A 16,693-nucleotide genomic window follows, 5' to 3' on the forward strand; every position below is an offset into this window, starting at 1 on the left:
AGATATCTCGGGGATATTTTGCAAGCCTTCTCCTGAGGGCTGTTGATGGACTTGAATCCATTAAAATTGCTGCTTCTCTAAAAGCTTGACTCACTGTCCTAGAAACAATGTATATCAGGGTGGACTACAACTAGGATTTGGATGACAGTTTAACAATTCAGGTCCTGACTTGAAAAACCACTATAGCACTCCAGCACGTCTTTTTTCCCACCACAAAAACAATAATGCTTGGAAGTTCATAAGCAAGTAAGCTGAGTTTTTGATTCAGCAATATAGTCAGGACTCATTAAATAAGGGTGGGAATTATCCCTATGCCAAGGAGCCAAATGCTACTTGAATGTAAACATGACTTGGGAACACAGAAGGTGAATCTCATGTACAACAGGATGCAGAACTGAGAAGCAAACCTCAAGGAGGGCCTTGCAAGTGTTAATGAGTGAATGCCATCCCCACCACAGCCAGCCTGAGTGCATGTTGGAGACCGCATGCCCCAGGTTTCCTCCCACACAGCACAGAAAGGAATGGTCAGAGTTACGCAGTGATTTACATTCACCCTCTGATCGGGAAGCCCAGAAAACATGGACTAAATCCCAATACAGTGGAGTTAGAGATAAATATCTAGGGCTGCTTTCCTCTTTATTTCATTTCCTGCTCATAGCAAAGAATCTGGTCATGGAGAGGGAAGCCTAATTCTAACAAATCTACTCTTAAACAAAACTATTTCGCAGCCCAGGGTTTTTGCAGGGACGATAATGTTTTCAGCCAGACTCTGCCCAGCAATTCCAGAATCATCAGGGATAAGCTCGCAATTCAATAAAAGGCTACAGAAGCAAACTAGGCATGGATGTCACTCCACAAGAATACACAAAGATTGATCATGGCAAGAGTGTGATGAACAAAAACAGTCCTCATATCTAGATTTACAGCCTTCTCTTCTCAGCTCCCCAGTCCAGGCAAAACATTTAGCCGTGGTCAATTTAATGCTATGCCTCCTTTTTCTGTCTCCAAAAAAGAAAGGTCAGAAGTGGGATGAACAGACCCTTGCAAGAAAATCGGAGTGGAAAATAAACCGCCCTCTCCGGGGAGCTGAAACCAGAAAATGTATGACAACTGAGCAGCTCATCAGATGGAGGGGAGAAATACCAAAAGACAAGAGAGATCAGGGAAGGTATGGGCAGAAATGAGAAGAAAAATTTTTCTAAAGTAGAAAAGTGAGTGGCTCCTGTAAGTTGCGAGTGCTAGAAAATAACAGAGGACAGGTGGAAAATAGGCACTTTGAATTTGCACTTAATAGGCTTTTGGTAAATGTAAAAAACAGTTTCTTCCTTTGAAAATGTTTTTAAAAAGCAAGATATTCACCAAAGACATATGAATGCCCATTAACAGATCAAAATGTGTTGAAACAAAATTGTGATTAAAAAGGCATCGTATTGACTCTACCAAAATGGCGAGTGGCAGCAGGGGACACACAGAGATGCTGCTGTCCCTGCAGTTCTCAATCCCAGTCCCAAGAGGTTCATTACGCTAACGGAACTTCTGTGCTGCGTGACTGCATGGCTAATTTGCAGCCGCTATCCCTCCAGCTAAAAAATGTCTAGACAGGGAGGCTCCTGACACAAATAGAGACATTAATGATTAACATGAAATTCATCTTTACATCAGTAGCAGGATAATGGAAGTTTATAGGAATAAAAGGCCCGTTGTCATTTGGCAGTTTGTGAGGATGAGCACATCATATTTTAAGGTTTAGGGTCTTTAGACACATACTCCCTTAGTATACTAAGGACCTGGAGGCAATCTTGCCAGACTTCCTCTGCAGGCATCTTTAATTTTCTTGTATCATAAATTTTTATCTTACATTCTATACAAGGGGGAATCACTGAGCTGATGAGTGAGCCTAACCATTTGCCCGTAAGTATGAGGCTTTGTTGTTTTATATTCAGTGTGAATATGATAACTCACATAACCTCTCTTATGAACCTCTCTTTTTCTCTTTTTGGGTGGGGGGGGGTGATTTTTTAAATGGCCTTGAAAAGAAAGCCAACTTCTGGTATTGGAGATGGAAGCAAAGAATAATAAAGAGTAAAAGTAATCGTTCTCAGATTGAAAACAAAAGATTTGCTGTAATGTAAAAATGGAAAATCAAATTTAGTAAAAGCTTATATCTACAAGTTGAATAAATTCAAATGCTGCTTACACAGAAATAGGAGAAAAATTTAATAGAACTATTTCAGGAGCATTGCCAACGCTGAAAAAGCTACTTGTCAAGTGAGAGATACAACAGTAGTGAAATCTGAAAAGGTGATTTACTTTTCATGCCAGGATTAGCACAGGAAAACAAATGGTTCTTAGTAGAAATGTACTTCAGGACAAAGTCAGAAACTTGGCAATACACATTCTTAAATTACACATAGTAAAATGTTCTAGTGAGCTTGTCTAATCCAAGTTTACTATTGAGTAGAAGTTTACCACTGAGTTGGTAAGAGAATTTTAAGGGCTGTTTTCCCTGCTTCATATAATCAAACAAAGAACATTGACTGACTTTCCTGATTTATCAGATATTTTTGTTTTTATGTTTTTCCTGAACTGAAAAGCCAAAGTGGCCCATTGCAGAGGAGGTTAGAAACCAAAATAAATGATCAACACAGACAGCATATATCTACAGTAGATGAAAGTGCTTTGGCACACAAATATCCCCAAGACAGATGAGCTTCTGGGTTAAAGCAGGTAAAAAGTGACTCATCTTCTTTAGGACAATGCTGAAGTCTTCATTTTAAGCTGGACTTGTTTCACCATTTAGGAAAACCCCCATGATGCCAAGAGAGAACAATAAGAACTTAGTGAGGGTATATTGACAGTATAAAAAAAGGAAAGAATAATAATGCCAGTATTTTTTCATGTATTAAAACATGTATCCCAGATAAAACATGTGTCCCAGAATTTAAAGTAAAATAAATAAATAAAATTAAATAAAAATGCTTCAACAATGCCACATGAAATAAATTTTAATAGTCTTCTTTATTTTAGTAACTTTATCCATTACTTTAGTCTTATATTTATAGAAATGTTAATGCCCAAAGAACCAACTGAAAAGTAGAGAACAGAAAGTTCTCAGAAAAAGAAATGTAACTGCAGCCCTAAACTTATGAAAAGATACTCATCCCTCTCATACAATGAAAATTAAGACTACACAGAAATAGCATTTCTCACCTATTTGGTAAAAATTCAAAAGCTTAATAATACACCAGCTTCTGGGGAAACTGTAGAGAAACAGGCACTCTCTCACATTGCTATAATGAATGTGCAGTATGTTTCAACTTCTAAGGAATGCAATTGTGTAATATCTATCAAAATTATAAATGCGAAATATCCATTGTTCTTTATCCATTGACAGATGAGTAGATAAAGAAAATGTGGTATATACGTACAACAGAATATTAGTCAGCCTTAAGAAAGAGAGAAATTCTGCCATTTGTGGCAACATGGTTATACATTAAGTAAAATAAGTCAGATACAGAAAAACACTGTATGATTTCACTTATATGTGGAATCTAAAATAGTCAAACTCATAGAAGCAGAGGGTAGAATGGTGGTTGCCAAGAGCTGGGGAGAGGGGAGAATGAGGAGTGATGGTTAAAGGGACAAAGTTTCAGTTATGCAGGAGAATTTAATACCTGAGATCCAACATATAGCATAGTGCCTATAGCAAGCAATACTGTATTGTATACTTTAAAATGCTAAGGGGGTAGATTTTACATTATGTTATTATTTTATCTTACCACAAAATAATAATAATAAAGAGAGCAGAAGGAAACTTTGGGAGGTGATGGATATAATTATGGCCTGGATGATTGCGATGGTTTCATTGATGTGTGCTTTTATTCCAAAACCTATTGAGATGAATACATTAAATATATACAACTTTCCATATGGCAATAATGCCTTGAGAAATGGTTTAAAAAATGCAAATGCATTTACATTTTGACTTGTATCTAGTAGTATCTTACTACTAGGACTTTATCTGATAGATATTCCTGCATATGTTCAAAATGACTTTTGTTAGTTATTCACTGCAGCATTGTTTAAAGGAGAAAAAATTAGAAAGCTCCCAAATGTGCATTCATAAGAGACTGGTAGACGGATTGCAATTAAAAATGAATGAAGAAGCTCTCTGCCTATTGATCTGGAAAGAAACCCAGGATATATTAATAAAAGCAAAGCAAAGGATTATGAGCATACTGTGTTACCTTTATATAAGAAAGAGATGGAGTGGGGACCAACAACTAAATTCATGCCTATATTTACATTAAAGAAACACTGGACAGATACTAAAGGAAGTAATAGAAGTTGTTGCTGGGACAGCCAGGTGAGAAGGACTCCCTGGCAGAGCTTCCAATCAGCCTGCGTACTAGGAGGAATGTACAATGGGATATAGTCACAGAAGTTTGCACCATTTGCAGCCCCTCATCTTCCTGTGTGGAACCTGGGATTCAAGCTGACAGGCAGGAAGCACACTAGCAGTAACTCTGGCCTTGCAGAGATTCTCTGTTCCCCTTTTTTTCCTTTTCCCCCAGTGAAACCCTACCTCACTCACCCTTAAAATCATCTGCAAGCCTAAATTTTCTTGGCCGTGGGACAAGACCCCATCTTTAGCTGAACTAAGGAAAAGTACTACATCATTTTCAATATGAGATTTGGGGGATGGGATAGAGTAGATAGGAATAGAGGTAGGGTAGAAATGAGGTTTATACAAGTCTATAGTATTTACCTGTCTGAATATATATCTTTTAAAGTAAATAAATGAAAGCCTAAAAAAAGGTCAATTAAATTTTTTAGTAAGTTACTAAAAGAGAAATTGCCATTTATGAGAGAAATTATGGGGGGACATGATGCAGAAATTTTTTTGTGGAGGTCCCACTGATATTTAAGTGGACAAGGTCCATGGATGGATCTGAAGGTGTCTATTGAACCTTGAAATTGAATACAAAGTGTTAGCTCTCTTCCCATATGTGCATATCTCCAGGGGAATTATCTATAGTTCTCATCAGATTATCAAAGAACCCCATAATGCAAAACAAGTTACAAAACTAAAAATTTAGGAAAGTCTCTAGACTTACTTTTCCTGAATATCAAGATACTATATGACTTGGTTGTTATAAATATAAGGTCTGGATTCAAGAGACCTGGGATTACCATCAAACTTCACCGCTTACTAGTCGTGTGTCCCTGGGCAATTTATTCAAACTTTCTGGCCTCGCTTTTCTTATCTGCTATAGAAAGAAAATAGTAATATCTACTTAACATGATACTGTAAGGATTAAACTAAATAATGCATGTAAAGTGCTTAGCAAAATGCCAGACATGTAAGCACTCAAAAAATAGAGCCTACTATAATCATTCAACTTAATATCAGTACTGTGCTTACATAGCAAGTTTTGAAAGAGGTCAGATAATGCACTGAGTTTTGGACCTGTTAAATTTGAGATGCCTGGAGATACCTAAGTGGTATCTCCAGCTGAGAGCTGGATTTAAAGGCCTGGGATGCTAAAAAATGCTCAGCCATGTTATTACATTTTTGTTTTGTCTACACTCACCCTCTTGATGATCTCATCTAGTTTCATGCCTTTCAAAACCATCTATGTGCTGATGATTTACAAGTTTATATGTCCAGCTCAGACTTGTCCCTTAAAGTCAGACTCCAAATACCTACTCAACAAATAATTATTGGATGTTTTATAGGCATCTCAAAATTAATATGTGCAAAAACCAACTTCTAATCTTTCCCTTAACCTAACGCACCTAAAGCCTTCCACATCTTAATAGTGATTCCATTTTTCTAGTTAATCCACAAATTTTGAAGACATCCTTGATTTTCCTATTTTTCTTCTACCCCACATCCAATCCATGCTATTGAGTGGTTCTACTACAAAATATATCCATATCTAATTATTTCTCCCACTCTCTCTTGCTGCTACCCAATCCCAAGCTACTAATATCTCTCTCACTAGAATTATTGTGACAGTAACCTAACTGGTTTATCTGCTTCTACTTTTCTCCTAGAATAGTAGAGAGAATCAATTCTCAGCACAGCAAACAAATGATTCTTGAAATCAGACCAGGTCCTTCCTGTGCTCAAGGGCTCAAGGGCTCCCATCTCACCTGGGAAACAACCAAGAGCCTTTTCCATGATCAAGGCCCTACTCCTTTATTTCTTTAGCCTCATTTACAGATTTTCTCCTCACCAGACAGTACCCTCCAGCTCTAGTAATCTCCGTCCTGTGCTTCTAACATATACCAGAAACAGTACTACCTTCTCACTGGAATTCTCTTCTTTCAGATATCCAACCACGTGGCTCGCTTCTTTACCTTCTTCAAGTTTTTGCTCAAATGTCATCTCAGTGAGATATTCTCTGTTCAAACCAATTTAAATTGCACTCCCCACTCTACCTGTATCCTCCTTCCTCCTTTATTTCTTTCTATATTTATCACTAATGTGCTGCATAGTTTATTTAGTTATGTTATTTATTATCTGAAATCCCTTCCGGAATAGAAGCTCCAGAAAGTTGGATAATTTTGTCTGTTGTTTTTTTTTTTTTTCCTTCTCACTCCTCCCTCCAGCCCCATTGTTTTTCCCTCAGTGCCTAGAATAGTGCCTGGCACATGGTAGGTATTCAGTAAATATCCATTTATATTTTTAATTGCTTTAACTAATTTCTTGTAGTGTACTCATTCTTCCTCTGAACTTGGAATAAATTTTGCTGGGATAGGTTAAGAGACTGAGATTCTTAACTCTGAGTCAACCCCAAATGTTCCTTTCCAATCAATATCCACTCACTGTCCAGGAGCCAGAGTACCTCATGGCTTGTCTAACTCAGAGAGGTCACTTCACCTATAAAGAGAACATCTTGCAAAGTTGGATGGTGGGTAGGAGAGAATGGTTATGGTATTTTCTTCAGGAGTCTGAGTCCCTGATCTTTGAAGCCTCCTCAAGATTCCTCTTAGTGATGTTAATCAAATCCTCTTAGCAGAACTCCTGGCCATTCCCCCTAAATTCATTGACTAATCAAAAGAATTTTCATCACTTCTTCTCCCTTCCAACTCTTAACTCAGCATAAGCTAATTTGGACAGAGATATTATAAGGTGGAGTGGTGGATAGAAGGTACTCTCTTAAGCCTAACAGTAGGAAAAATCTGAGGTCTAGTTTGCTTTAAACACCTAGCTATATTGACCTGTCTATGAACTAACGTGGCAGATATCTGAGCCTTTCAAAACTTTCTGCACCTGTTCTTGTAACACAAGCTATCATCACCAGCTGAACCAAAGCGAGAACTTGGAGACAGGGAAGAACACAGTTCTTGTTCTCCTGACTGTGCTTAAAGAAGAGGGCAGGGCATCACCAGCTAAGGAAGCCAGTAAGGTGAGACTCAACTAGGTTGACAATAAAGTTACCATAAGAGCCAGGGAAGCCAGAGGGCTCTCATGTAAATCCAAGAGACTTCTCCTATTCCATTCACCATAAATTCTCCTAAAGTCCCTTCCTCATATCTCTAGAGGCCAATCTAGAGAGGTGTGTGGAGAAGAGGCATCTGAAATACAGGGTTTTTGAGATCAGCAGTGCAATTGCATTTAACAAACTGAACTCAGTGTAGTAGCCCCTGCTACTCAGCATTATATGGGCTCATAATAAAGATGCAATTAATTATAGAAAAAAATTAGAAGTACAGATTATTTGCATATCTAAGTATAATACGCATGAGTTTCCCTCCCTGTTACATTTGTAGTTTGCAGTCTAATACCAACAGCCTGTATTTCTCAGGGGGATCCTGATGGATCTTCTGTCCGGGTCTACTTTAGCCAGGCTAGCTTCTCCATCCCTGAGGGTTGGTGAATTGTCCTGGCTTTAGTTCTTTTACTCATCCAATCATTCATTCATTTTTCTTCCAGTCATTAAAATAAATGGGGGCAATTGAGACAAAGTGAGAAGAGTCCACTTAGAGACAGAAGTGCTGGTGCCAGCCCTCACAACCACCAACTGTTACCTCTTCTGTGACTTTGAGAAATCCCTTATCTGTGAAACAGCAATAATATAACAAGCCTCAAACTACTGGGATTTGTTTTAAATAAGATAATAAATATGAAAGATTCTAGTTTGAGATCAGCCTGGGCAACATGGTAAGGCCTCTGTCTCTATAAAAGAGAGAGAGAGAGAAGAAGAGAAGAGAAGAGGAGACAGAAAGAAAAGGAAAAGGAGGGAAGAGAGGGAGGGAGGGAGGAAGGGAGGAAGGAAGGAAGGAAAGAAAAAGGAAGGAAGGAAAAAAGGAAGAAAGGAAAAAGGAAGGAAAAAAGGAAGGAAAGAGAGGGAGAAGGGAAAGGAGGGAGGGAGGAAAGAAGGAAAGAGAGAGAAAGAAAGATCTGTATTTCAAAGACCTTTGTAAACTTAAGGCATTGTTATTATAAATACTAAAAAATAACCACCAACTCATTGACCACTACATGCCAATGAAGAGTGCAAACTTGAACAAGACACATTCCCAGCCTTGAACATTTTATAATCCAATGGAGTAGTGCCTCAGGCACAACCGATTTTTCTGTCTGGGTTCTCCTCTGGCTTATCAGAAATCAGTTTATTTCAGGCTGGGAAAGTTTAGGCAGGAAAATCATAAGGTTTGGCTTCAATACCTTTTCCTGAAATGAGTCACTTGATCATCTACAATTCCCTGATCCATGAAAGCGGCACCTGCACAGAGCTATTTCCTCATGTGCCAGGTGAACAAGAAATAGAACACAGACAGATACACACACTGCCAGACAAGGTTAGGGATGAAATGAATCTTGCAGAGAGCATATGCCTCTCCAAACTCACACCTTAGAAATTTCTGTTATGCTCCAAAGTACAAAGCAGAATATTTTAAAATTCCCTTGTATGGCGTTTATAATATTGTACATAAATCTCCCCGCTCATTTCCTTCATTATTCCACTCTATATATGTCTGGTGGGAAATTAAAGTAATCAAACAAATAATGAACACTTCAAAATTTGCTACTCAGGGGCCGGGAATCAGCCAGAGAAGCTACTGATATTAGGCAAAATGGATAGAAAATAGTTCACCTCTCCACCTCATTTTGTTGAAAAATACACACACACACACACACACACACACACATACTCATGTATTTACATATAATTTAAGATTATTATAATATACATTTTAAATTAAGCATGAGAACATGTCTCTCAGAGGCCCCATTGTGCTTGGGCATAGAGAAAGGGAGTTCAAAGGAAGTAATATGTGAATTAGGGAGAACTTAACTTACATCACTGTACACATGAAACATGTTATGTTCAGGGGTTTAACTCCCTTATGTCATTCTAAATATTTGTCTAGAAAACCAGAAAAAAAAAGCTGCTAAAAAATATTTGCAAAAATTTAAATGTGTGTGAGTGTGTGTGTGTGCGTGTGCACTTGTGCATCGTTTTTCTCTCCTGCTTCCATTCCTAAGGTGAAATCAAGTACAAAGATATTACCTTTCTTGAAGGGGAAAAAAGAGGAAACAGACAAGGAGTTTCTCTCCCAATACTCTGCAGGAGGAGGAGATAATTGAGCTTCCTCTCTATAATAAGACATGCAAACAATTAGGGGCCATGATCTGATGCCAAGGTAGGAGAAGCTGTGGGGCTGCTTTTATTCTTAGCCCATATTGTAGAGAGGGCATGGTTCTTTGGTTTCACACCAAAGTCAAAATAAGACAATAATGAGTCCGAGAGAACACCAGAGGTCTAATTAAATGTAAAAGTTTGATTCAGGGAGTGAGATGGTGGCCTTCCTTTTAGAAAGTCTTTTAAATTTCTTTAGTTCTTACTCCAAATGCTATCCATCTAAATTAAGTCTTACTTCGAGGTTATAGAAAGAAATAAATATATTCTTACAAGCTAGTAACTTGGATAACTGAAGTGTGGAAATACTGTCCAATACAGTATGACCCCTGCTGTGTACCCAATGATAGAAATAGCTAAAAGTAACTGAGCCTCTTCTACGCAGTCTGCATTGAGTATAACATTTATTCATTCATTAAAAAAATGTCTTGGACATGGAGCATGGTTCTAAAAAAATTTAGAGAGAGAGAGAGAGCGTGAAGTTCAGCTAATGATAAGACGCTATGAAGAAAATGAAGTAGAGAAATAGGCCAGAAACAAATGAGTGGGACAGAGACTATATTACATATTAGAGTGGAGTGTCCAGCGATGAGATGCAGTTCTCCAAAGCCCAGGCATAGCCCATTCCACACAGAAGGCACAGACATGAAAATGTCTGGAATCAAGAAAGAGCTTGATTTGTGTGAATAATTGAAAGTTCTGCGTAGATGCTGTTTTCTCCATTTCATAGATGGGAAAGTTGAGGTTCAAGAACTTTAAATAACTTACTGAAAGTTACTTTAAAAGTATGTGCCACTGCTGAGATTTCTTTTATTTTACTTTTTGGAAAAGTAAATTATTAACGTATTCACCAAAGCACTGTAATGTGTTACTCATTGGAAAGTCTCCTCATTTCTCCTTTGTCCCTGTCCACACCATTCCATCTCTCATCACCCTTCCCTTGCATGAACTAAAAATGGCTTAGCTTTAGCTGCTTGGGTATCATTCAAATGCTTACACAAATACAAGCAAATACAGTATTATACTATATCCTCCCCTTCCTTATATAGTATACTATATATACTGTACTAAATATTCCTTGTTTTATTTAAAAATATATCCTAGACACATTTCCATGACAGTGCCTAGAGTTTCTCATTTTACCACATACTACTTTCCTGTAGAAGTGAACAATAGTTTATATGATCAATCCTCTATTGATGGAAATCTAGCTGGTTTCTAGGTGTTTGCCAGTATAAACAATGAGTAACCTTGTATGTATTCCATTTTGCATTGGAAAGCTCACTGCCTTAGAGGAACTGATAAAATTTGCTTTATTCCCTTCCTTTGTGGTAGTAAACTTTTACTCCTACTAGTACTTCATGAGGTGTTTTCTCAAAAATCCATCAGAAAAGTATTTTATAAACTTTTGGATTTTTGCCCATCTGATTGGTTTGAAATGGTATCTCTGTGTTGGTCTTAATTGTGGCACTTCCTTTTTATTTATTTATTTATTCATCTATTTATTTATATTTTTTGAGACAGACTCCTTGGCTCACCGCAACCTCTGCCTCCCACGCTCAAGTGATCCTTCCGCCTCAGCCTTCAGCAGCTGGAACTACAGCACATGCCACCATGTTCAGCTAATTATTTTTATTTTTGTAGAGTCAGGGTTTCACCATGTTACCCAAGCTGGTCTCAAATTCCTGGGCTCAAACAATCTGCCCACCGTGGCTTCCCAAAGTGCTGATTACAGGTGTGAGCCACTGCGCCCAGCCAGCAGCTCTCTTTATATTAAGAAAATTAACCTTTTGTCTAGGATAGGAGTTGCAATTTTTTCCCTCAATTTGATATTTGCGATTTCATTTTATGTATAGAGTGGGGGGATTTTGTTCTTTTGTTTTGGTTTGTGCGACGTAGAAATTTTACAAATTTTACAAAAACATATGTTCATGTGAGAACATTGCTGGGGTCTCTCCCAGGGCCTTGGAATGCAACAATCCAAGTGAGGGGCTTCCCAGTAAGTCGGCTTCTAAAGGAAGGACTCTTAGGAAACATATTTATTTAGAGATTTAAATAATGAGAAAGCAGTAAATTGTGCAAAAATATAGAGAAAGGATGTTTTGGAGGAGTGACTTATCAAAGAATAAATTGGAGATGTTTGAGGAATTAAAAGAAAGCCATTGTGTAAGGAATATAGCTTCACTACCTACTTCACCTTTCGAACAAACTCAAGAACACAAAGATGTTAGGAACTCAATGTGTAACTTTTGCCTGGAGACTCATGTATAACTACAATGACCTTAAAGGAACATGTGAGATCAACCAATAATTTCTTACAATGTTTCATGGATCCCCAGAGACTAGGGGTAGAAGCGTTTATACAGAGGCTGAGTAAGCTAGGATTCAAGCTCCTCACTGCAGCCTCTTCACTACATTTTTCATGCATCTGTTTCATACCTTGGACTCCTCGTAAGAATTTATTTAAACCAAAAGCTCCATCATTGAGAAAAGTTAAAAACCCCTGAACCCCAACTCCATCACTTGATCTGGGTGGATACTGAAGCTTAGAAAGAGTGAATGGCTTGCCAAAGCCACAGTTAGATAGAGACACAGCCATTACAAAACCTCTATCCTATGATTCTCAATCAGAGGCTCTTTCCAGCATTCCCAACCCTAATCATGCCCTAGCCTAGTCTCCAATATATTTTCTTCCATGCAGTTGCTATTCTTTTAAAAAGCAGGGTGGTTGGTAGATGATTTCCATCCATTTATATTCTCTAACCATCTATAAGACAAAGAGAGCTCTGTACAACTTTCTCAGAGTAAGGCATTCTCTATTTGCCTCAGTGGAAGCTGGAAAGGGATCAGTGAATATTTTGCAGCTATAATTATACCAAATGGAGCTTCCACTAGAAATATTACTTACTGAGGCCAGGTGTCGTGGCTCACACCTGTAATCCCAGCACTTTGGGAGGTCGAGGCAGGCGGATCACTTGAGGTCAGAAGTTTGAGACCAGCCTGGCCAACATGGTGAAACCCTATCTCTACTAAAAACACAAAAAAAATTAGCTGGACATGGTGATGCACATCTGTAGTTCCAGCTACTCGGGAGGCTGAGGCAGGAGAATTGCTTGAACCAAGGAGACAGAAGTTGCAGTGAGCCGAGATTGCGCTACTGCACTCCAGTCTGGGTGACAGAGTGACACTCTGTCTCAAAAACAAAAAAGAAAAAGAAAAAGAAATATTACTTATTGGAAGCTCCACAACAGAGTTAAGGAATGATGCCTGTGGTTGGAGTGAAAAGACCAGATGTCAAGCACCTCTCCTCTCCATTCCTACCACCCCCATTCTTTTTCAGGTCCTCATCACCTCTCACCTTAATCCATTGCACAAACCTCTGACTGTTCTCTCTGCCTCCAGTTCTTCCCCCATTCCAGTTTGCCCTCCACAGTCTTGCCCAATTAATCGCCTTTCAAGTAACACAATTAAAAACACTCTCCACAGTCTGGGGCTCTCTTGCCGAATAAAACTGTAGAAATCACAAAATCTCACCAGGCGCGGTGGCTCATGTCTGTAATTCCAGCACTTTGGGAGGCCGAGGTGGATGGAGCACTGGAGGTCAGGAGTTTGAGACCAGCCTGACCAACATGGAGAAATCCCATCTCTACTAAAAATACAAAATTAGCAAGGGTTGGTGGTACATGCCTGTAGCTCCAGCTACTTGGGAGGCTGAGGCAGGAGAATCTCTTGAACCTGGGAGGTGGAGGTTGTGGTGAGCCGAGATCATGCCATTGCACTGCAGCCTGGGCAACAAGAGTGAAACTCCATAGAAAGAAAGAAAAAAGAAAAAGACAGAGAGAGAGAGGAAGGAAGGAAGGAAGGAAAGAAAGAAAGAAAGAAAGAAGGAAATTACAAAGTCTCTAATAATATTAAAATCCAATTACCTAAACTTGGCATTCAAAGCTTTCTGCAATCCAATGCTAACATTATAATTCTCACTTTATCTCCAATTCCTGCTTTAATTCATGCTGTAATCCAGAAATTCAAAACATTTCTCATTCCTACTCCATGCTCTATATCTTCGCAAATGGAGGTCTTTATTTATCTTGTTACCTGTCCCCACATGTCCTCCCCTGACTGATGTCATTGGAAAGCTTCTCCATCTTTCATGGTCTAATTCCTTGTTGTCTCCTTTATGAAGCCTTCATTGACCATGTCAAGCAAATGAGAATTCTTACACCTTCAACCCCCTGTTACAGATCATATAGACATTCTCATGGCAGTGTTAACATACTGCTTTGTGTCATCATGAATTCTGAAGTTATTTTGTTCCCATTATAGAGTGTGAGCTCTCTGAAGGCAAAACTAACCTATTTATCTTTATATCTCCTAAAGGGCCTAATACATCTCTAGGTGCACAGAAAGGATTTAGTTCCATATTTGACGAAAGGACAGGGCTGAGTTATCCTTAGTGTTCAACTCCTCCATTTTAGAACCAGACCATATAGAATAGGTCAGGAATTGAAAAGAGATATCTTTATGAAATATCCAAACAGAGGGGAAAGGACAGCAAATAAACATCCAATAAAACTAGTCATAGCTGAGTGACACTGTGCCAAATTAGAAAGAACATCAGCTAGAAAGCCAGATCCAAATATGTCAGATTCCCAAGTCACTTTCCAGCTCTGGAACTTTGAACGGGTCCCTGTCCATTCTCAATCTCATTTGCAAAATGAGGCTACAGGTCTGCTGTGAAGACAACTGGAGAAATTGCAATTAACATTTTAGAACATTATAGGTTATGCGGTAACAACAACAACTACAAGAATCAGCAGACCAACCACAGAGCTGAATGTGTTATTGAGCCTCAGTGTGCAGAGGCATGAAAGGGAGGTTTGTGACTTTATCTTGTCACCTGAAGGGTTCATTAGACCTTCAGAAGGCACCTTTTCCCTTCTGTGAGAATTTGTTTTGCAGGCTCTGCAATTATCATCAGATCATCATCATCAGATGATGCACAGGACATGAGATTGAAAACAGCACATCCAAAAAACAAAAAAAGTATGCACCTAGAATGAAATACCTAAGGACATTTCTAATTAGGGAGGGAGAGAGTAATCAGGGATGATGCTGAAAGGAGATGTCAGGCCTGGCATTGCTAAAATGAAAAGGAAGGGAAGCTAGGAGTTATTTTAACTGAAACTTGCACCCACCCACCCAGCCTCCTCCATCTCAGAGAATCGATGACAGAATAGAATTTGAACATCTCTGGGTTTTAGTTAGCCATTGACACATTGATTCCCTCTATAAGCAAGTATTGAGCACTAGTTAGTGGCAGGTTTAGGAAACTGAGAAATAAGGAATTCATGGTCTAGTTCAGGAAAGATACAAATGAGGTATGACAAGAGCTACAATCGCACCATACCCAGGTACGGTAAGAATACAAAGGAGTTCCAGCCCTACCAAGAGTGATCATTATAAGATAAAAGTGATATGGAAAACTGAGTTTTGAAAAATGACCAAGGGGTTTCCAAGAAGGCAAGGTGTGTGGGGTACTCCAAGCAAAAGGAGTTGCTTCCGTGTGACTCTACACATAGTCTAGCTCCTGGCAAGTTGTAGGAGCACAGAAAATGCAAGAGGGTGGCAGATGGCAAACCACAGGTGGGCAGAGACCACACACTCTCCCTTTCTTGTGTACCTCCCAATAATTCCTAGCAGGATATTTGGCACATTATGTGTTCTCAGGAGATCAGAGTTCTTAAACACCTTGTTATCTGTAGACCTAACCTTTATATCTAGTAGGGAGAATTCAGAAGTGTACTTTATCTATGGTCAACAGGAGGAGACTGATTGCCTGAAGATGATCTGGTAGCAGCCAGGCTCCTGGCCCCATTCTGAAGAACTTGACATAGCTGGAAAATCAGACATGGCTGGAAGAAACTTCAGATATATTGTTTCTTAACTTGGCATCTCAACAACTCTAAGAAAAAATCCATTTTTATTTAAATTGTAAAAATAATGTGTCTATTAAGATTACCACCCTTGTTATCAAGTTCTGACATGTAATTTTGATGCTCAATTTTTATGTTTGTTGTTTTGAATATCTTGACCCCAAATGAACATCCAAAGTGACCGCTTTTGACTTCTAATTCAGTATTTTTTGGGATTTCCAAGTCCTCCAGCTTGAGAACAACTTCATTGGATACAATGTCTCAATGAAAGATAAAGATATGGAGACCCAGAAAGGAGAAATAACTTTGTAGTGCATCCAGCTGCTCAGTAAGGTGACTAGAACCCAGGGTGTTTCAATGTTTGCCATATCCCAGTCCAGCCACCAACCCTCTGAAAAGGCAGTCAACAGTACTATCACTTCCAAGATCTCCAGATATAAATCCAAATTTCAAATTCAGCTCACAATTCACAGTGGTGCATTTGACCTTTATGGTAAAAGTTACAGTTTCTACTTTATCTTGGACAATATCCATGCCCCACCTCTCTGAGAAGCAGACAGAATAGGTCAGGATAAATTAACTCCTATTTAGGGAAATAAGAATAGCTTTTTTGTAAAACCAAGTTCTCTCATTGTATAGAATTTGTGACTTCACACATACTTTACTTACATTATGAAGAGATGATACCATGAAATTTCTGATTGTGAAGAAAACATTGCTTTATTGTTAATTTAAGAAAGGTAGCCACTGCTTTTCTGTTAGGAAATTTTGAAAGCAGAGCAAGCCATCAATTTTTGACGTCTTTTACATATATTTGGTAACAAGTAGTCACTGAATAAATGACAAATTGATGTTACCTAAATACTCAATGCAATAAATAGCTTAGAACTGGGAGATGAGTGAGCCACAGGGTATGGGGATTTGTGGAACTCTAAGAACATGGCTATTCAGCAGAATCACCTGGGGAACACTTTGAAAAATGCAGACTCTGGAACCCAACCCCAGACTAACTGAATCAGAATTTCCACAGGCTGGTATCCAGAACCTGACATTTATACAAGCTTTTCAAGTAACTTTGATGATTATCTAATCCACCCAAATGAA

At 38.7% G+C, this 16,693-nt stretch overlaps 1 long non-coding RNA gene across 2 annotated transcripts in view; it reads left to right on the forward strand.

Annotated features, from left to right (window-relative positions):
• The first annotated feature begins 1,773 nt into the window (after window positions 1-1,773).
• Window positions 1,774-16,693, forward strand: part of LINC02735 (long intergenic non-protein coding RNA 2735) — a 29,601-nt gene continuing 14,681 nt past the window's right edge. For both annotated transcript variants that reach the window (NR_110136.1, NR_110137.1), the window contains exon 1: window positions 1,774-1,911. This is a non-coding gene — a long non-coding RNA (long intergenic non-protein coding RNA 2735). The remainder of the gene's footprint in view (window positions 1,912-16,693) is intronic.

This window comes from Homo sapiens, chromosome 11, assembly GCF_000001405.40.
Source record: "Homo sapiens chromosome 11, GRCh38.p14 Primary Assembly".
NCBI classification, from domain to species: Eukaryota; Metazoa; Chordata; class Mammalia; order Primates; family Hominidae; genus Homo; species Homo sapiens.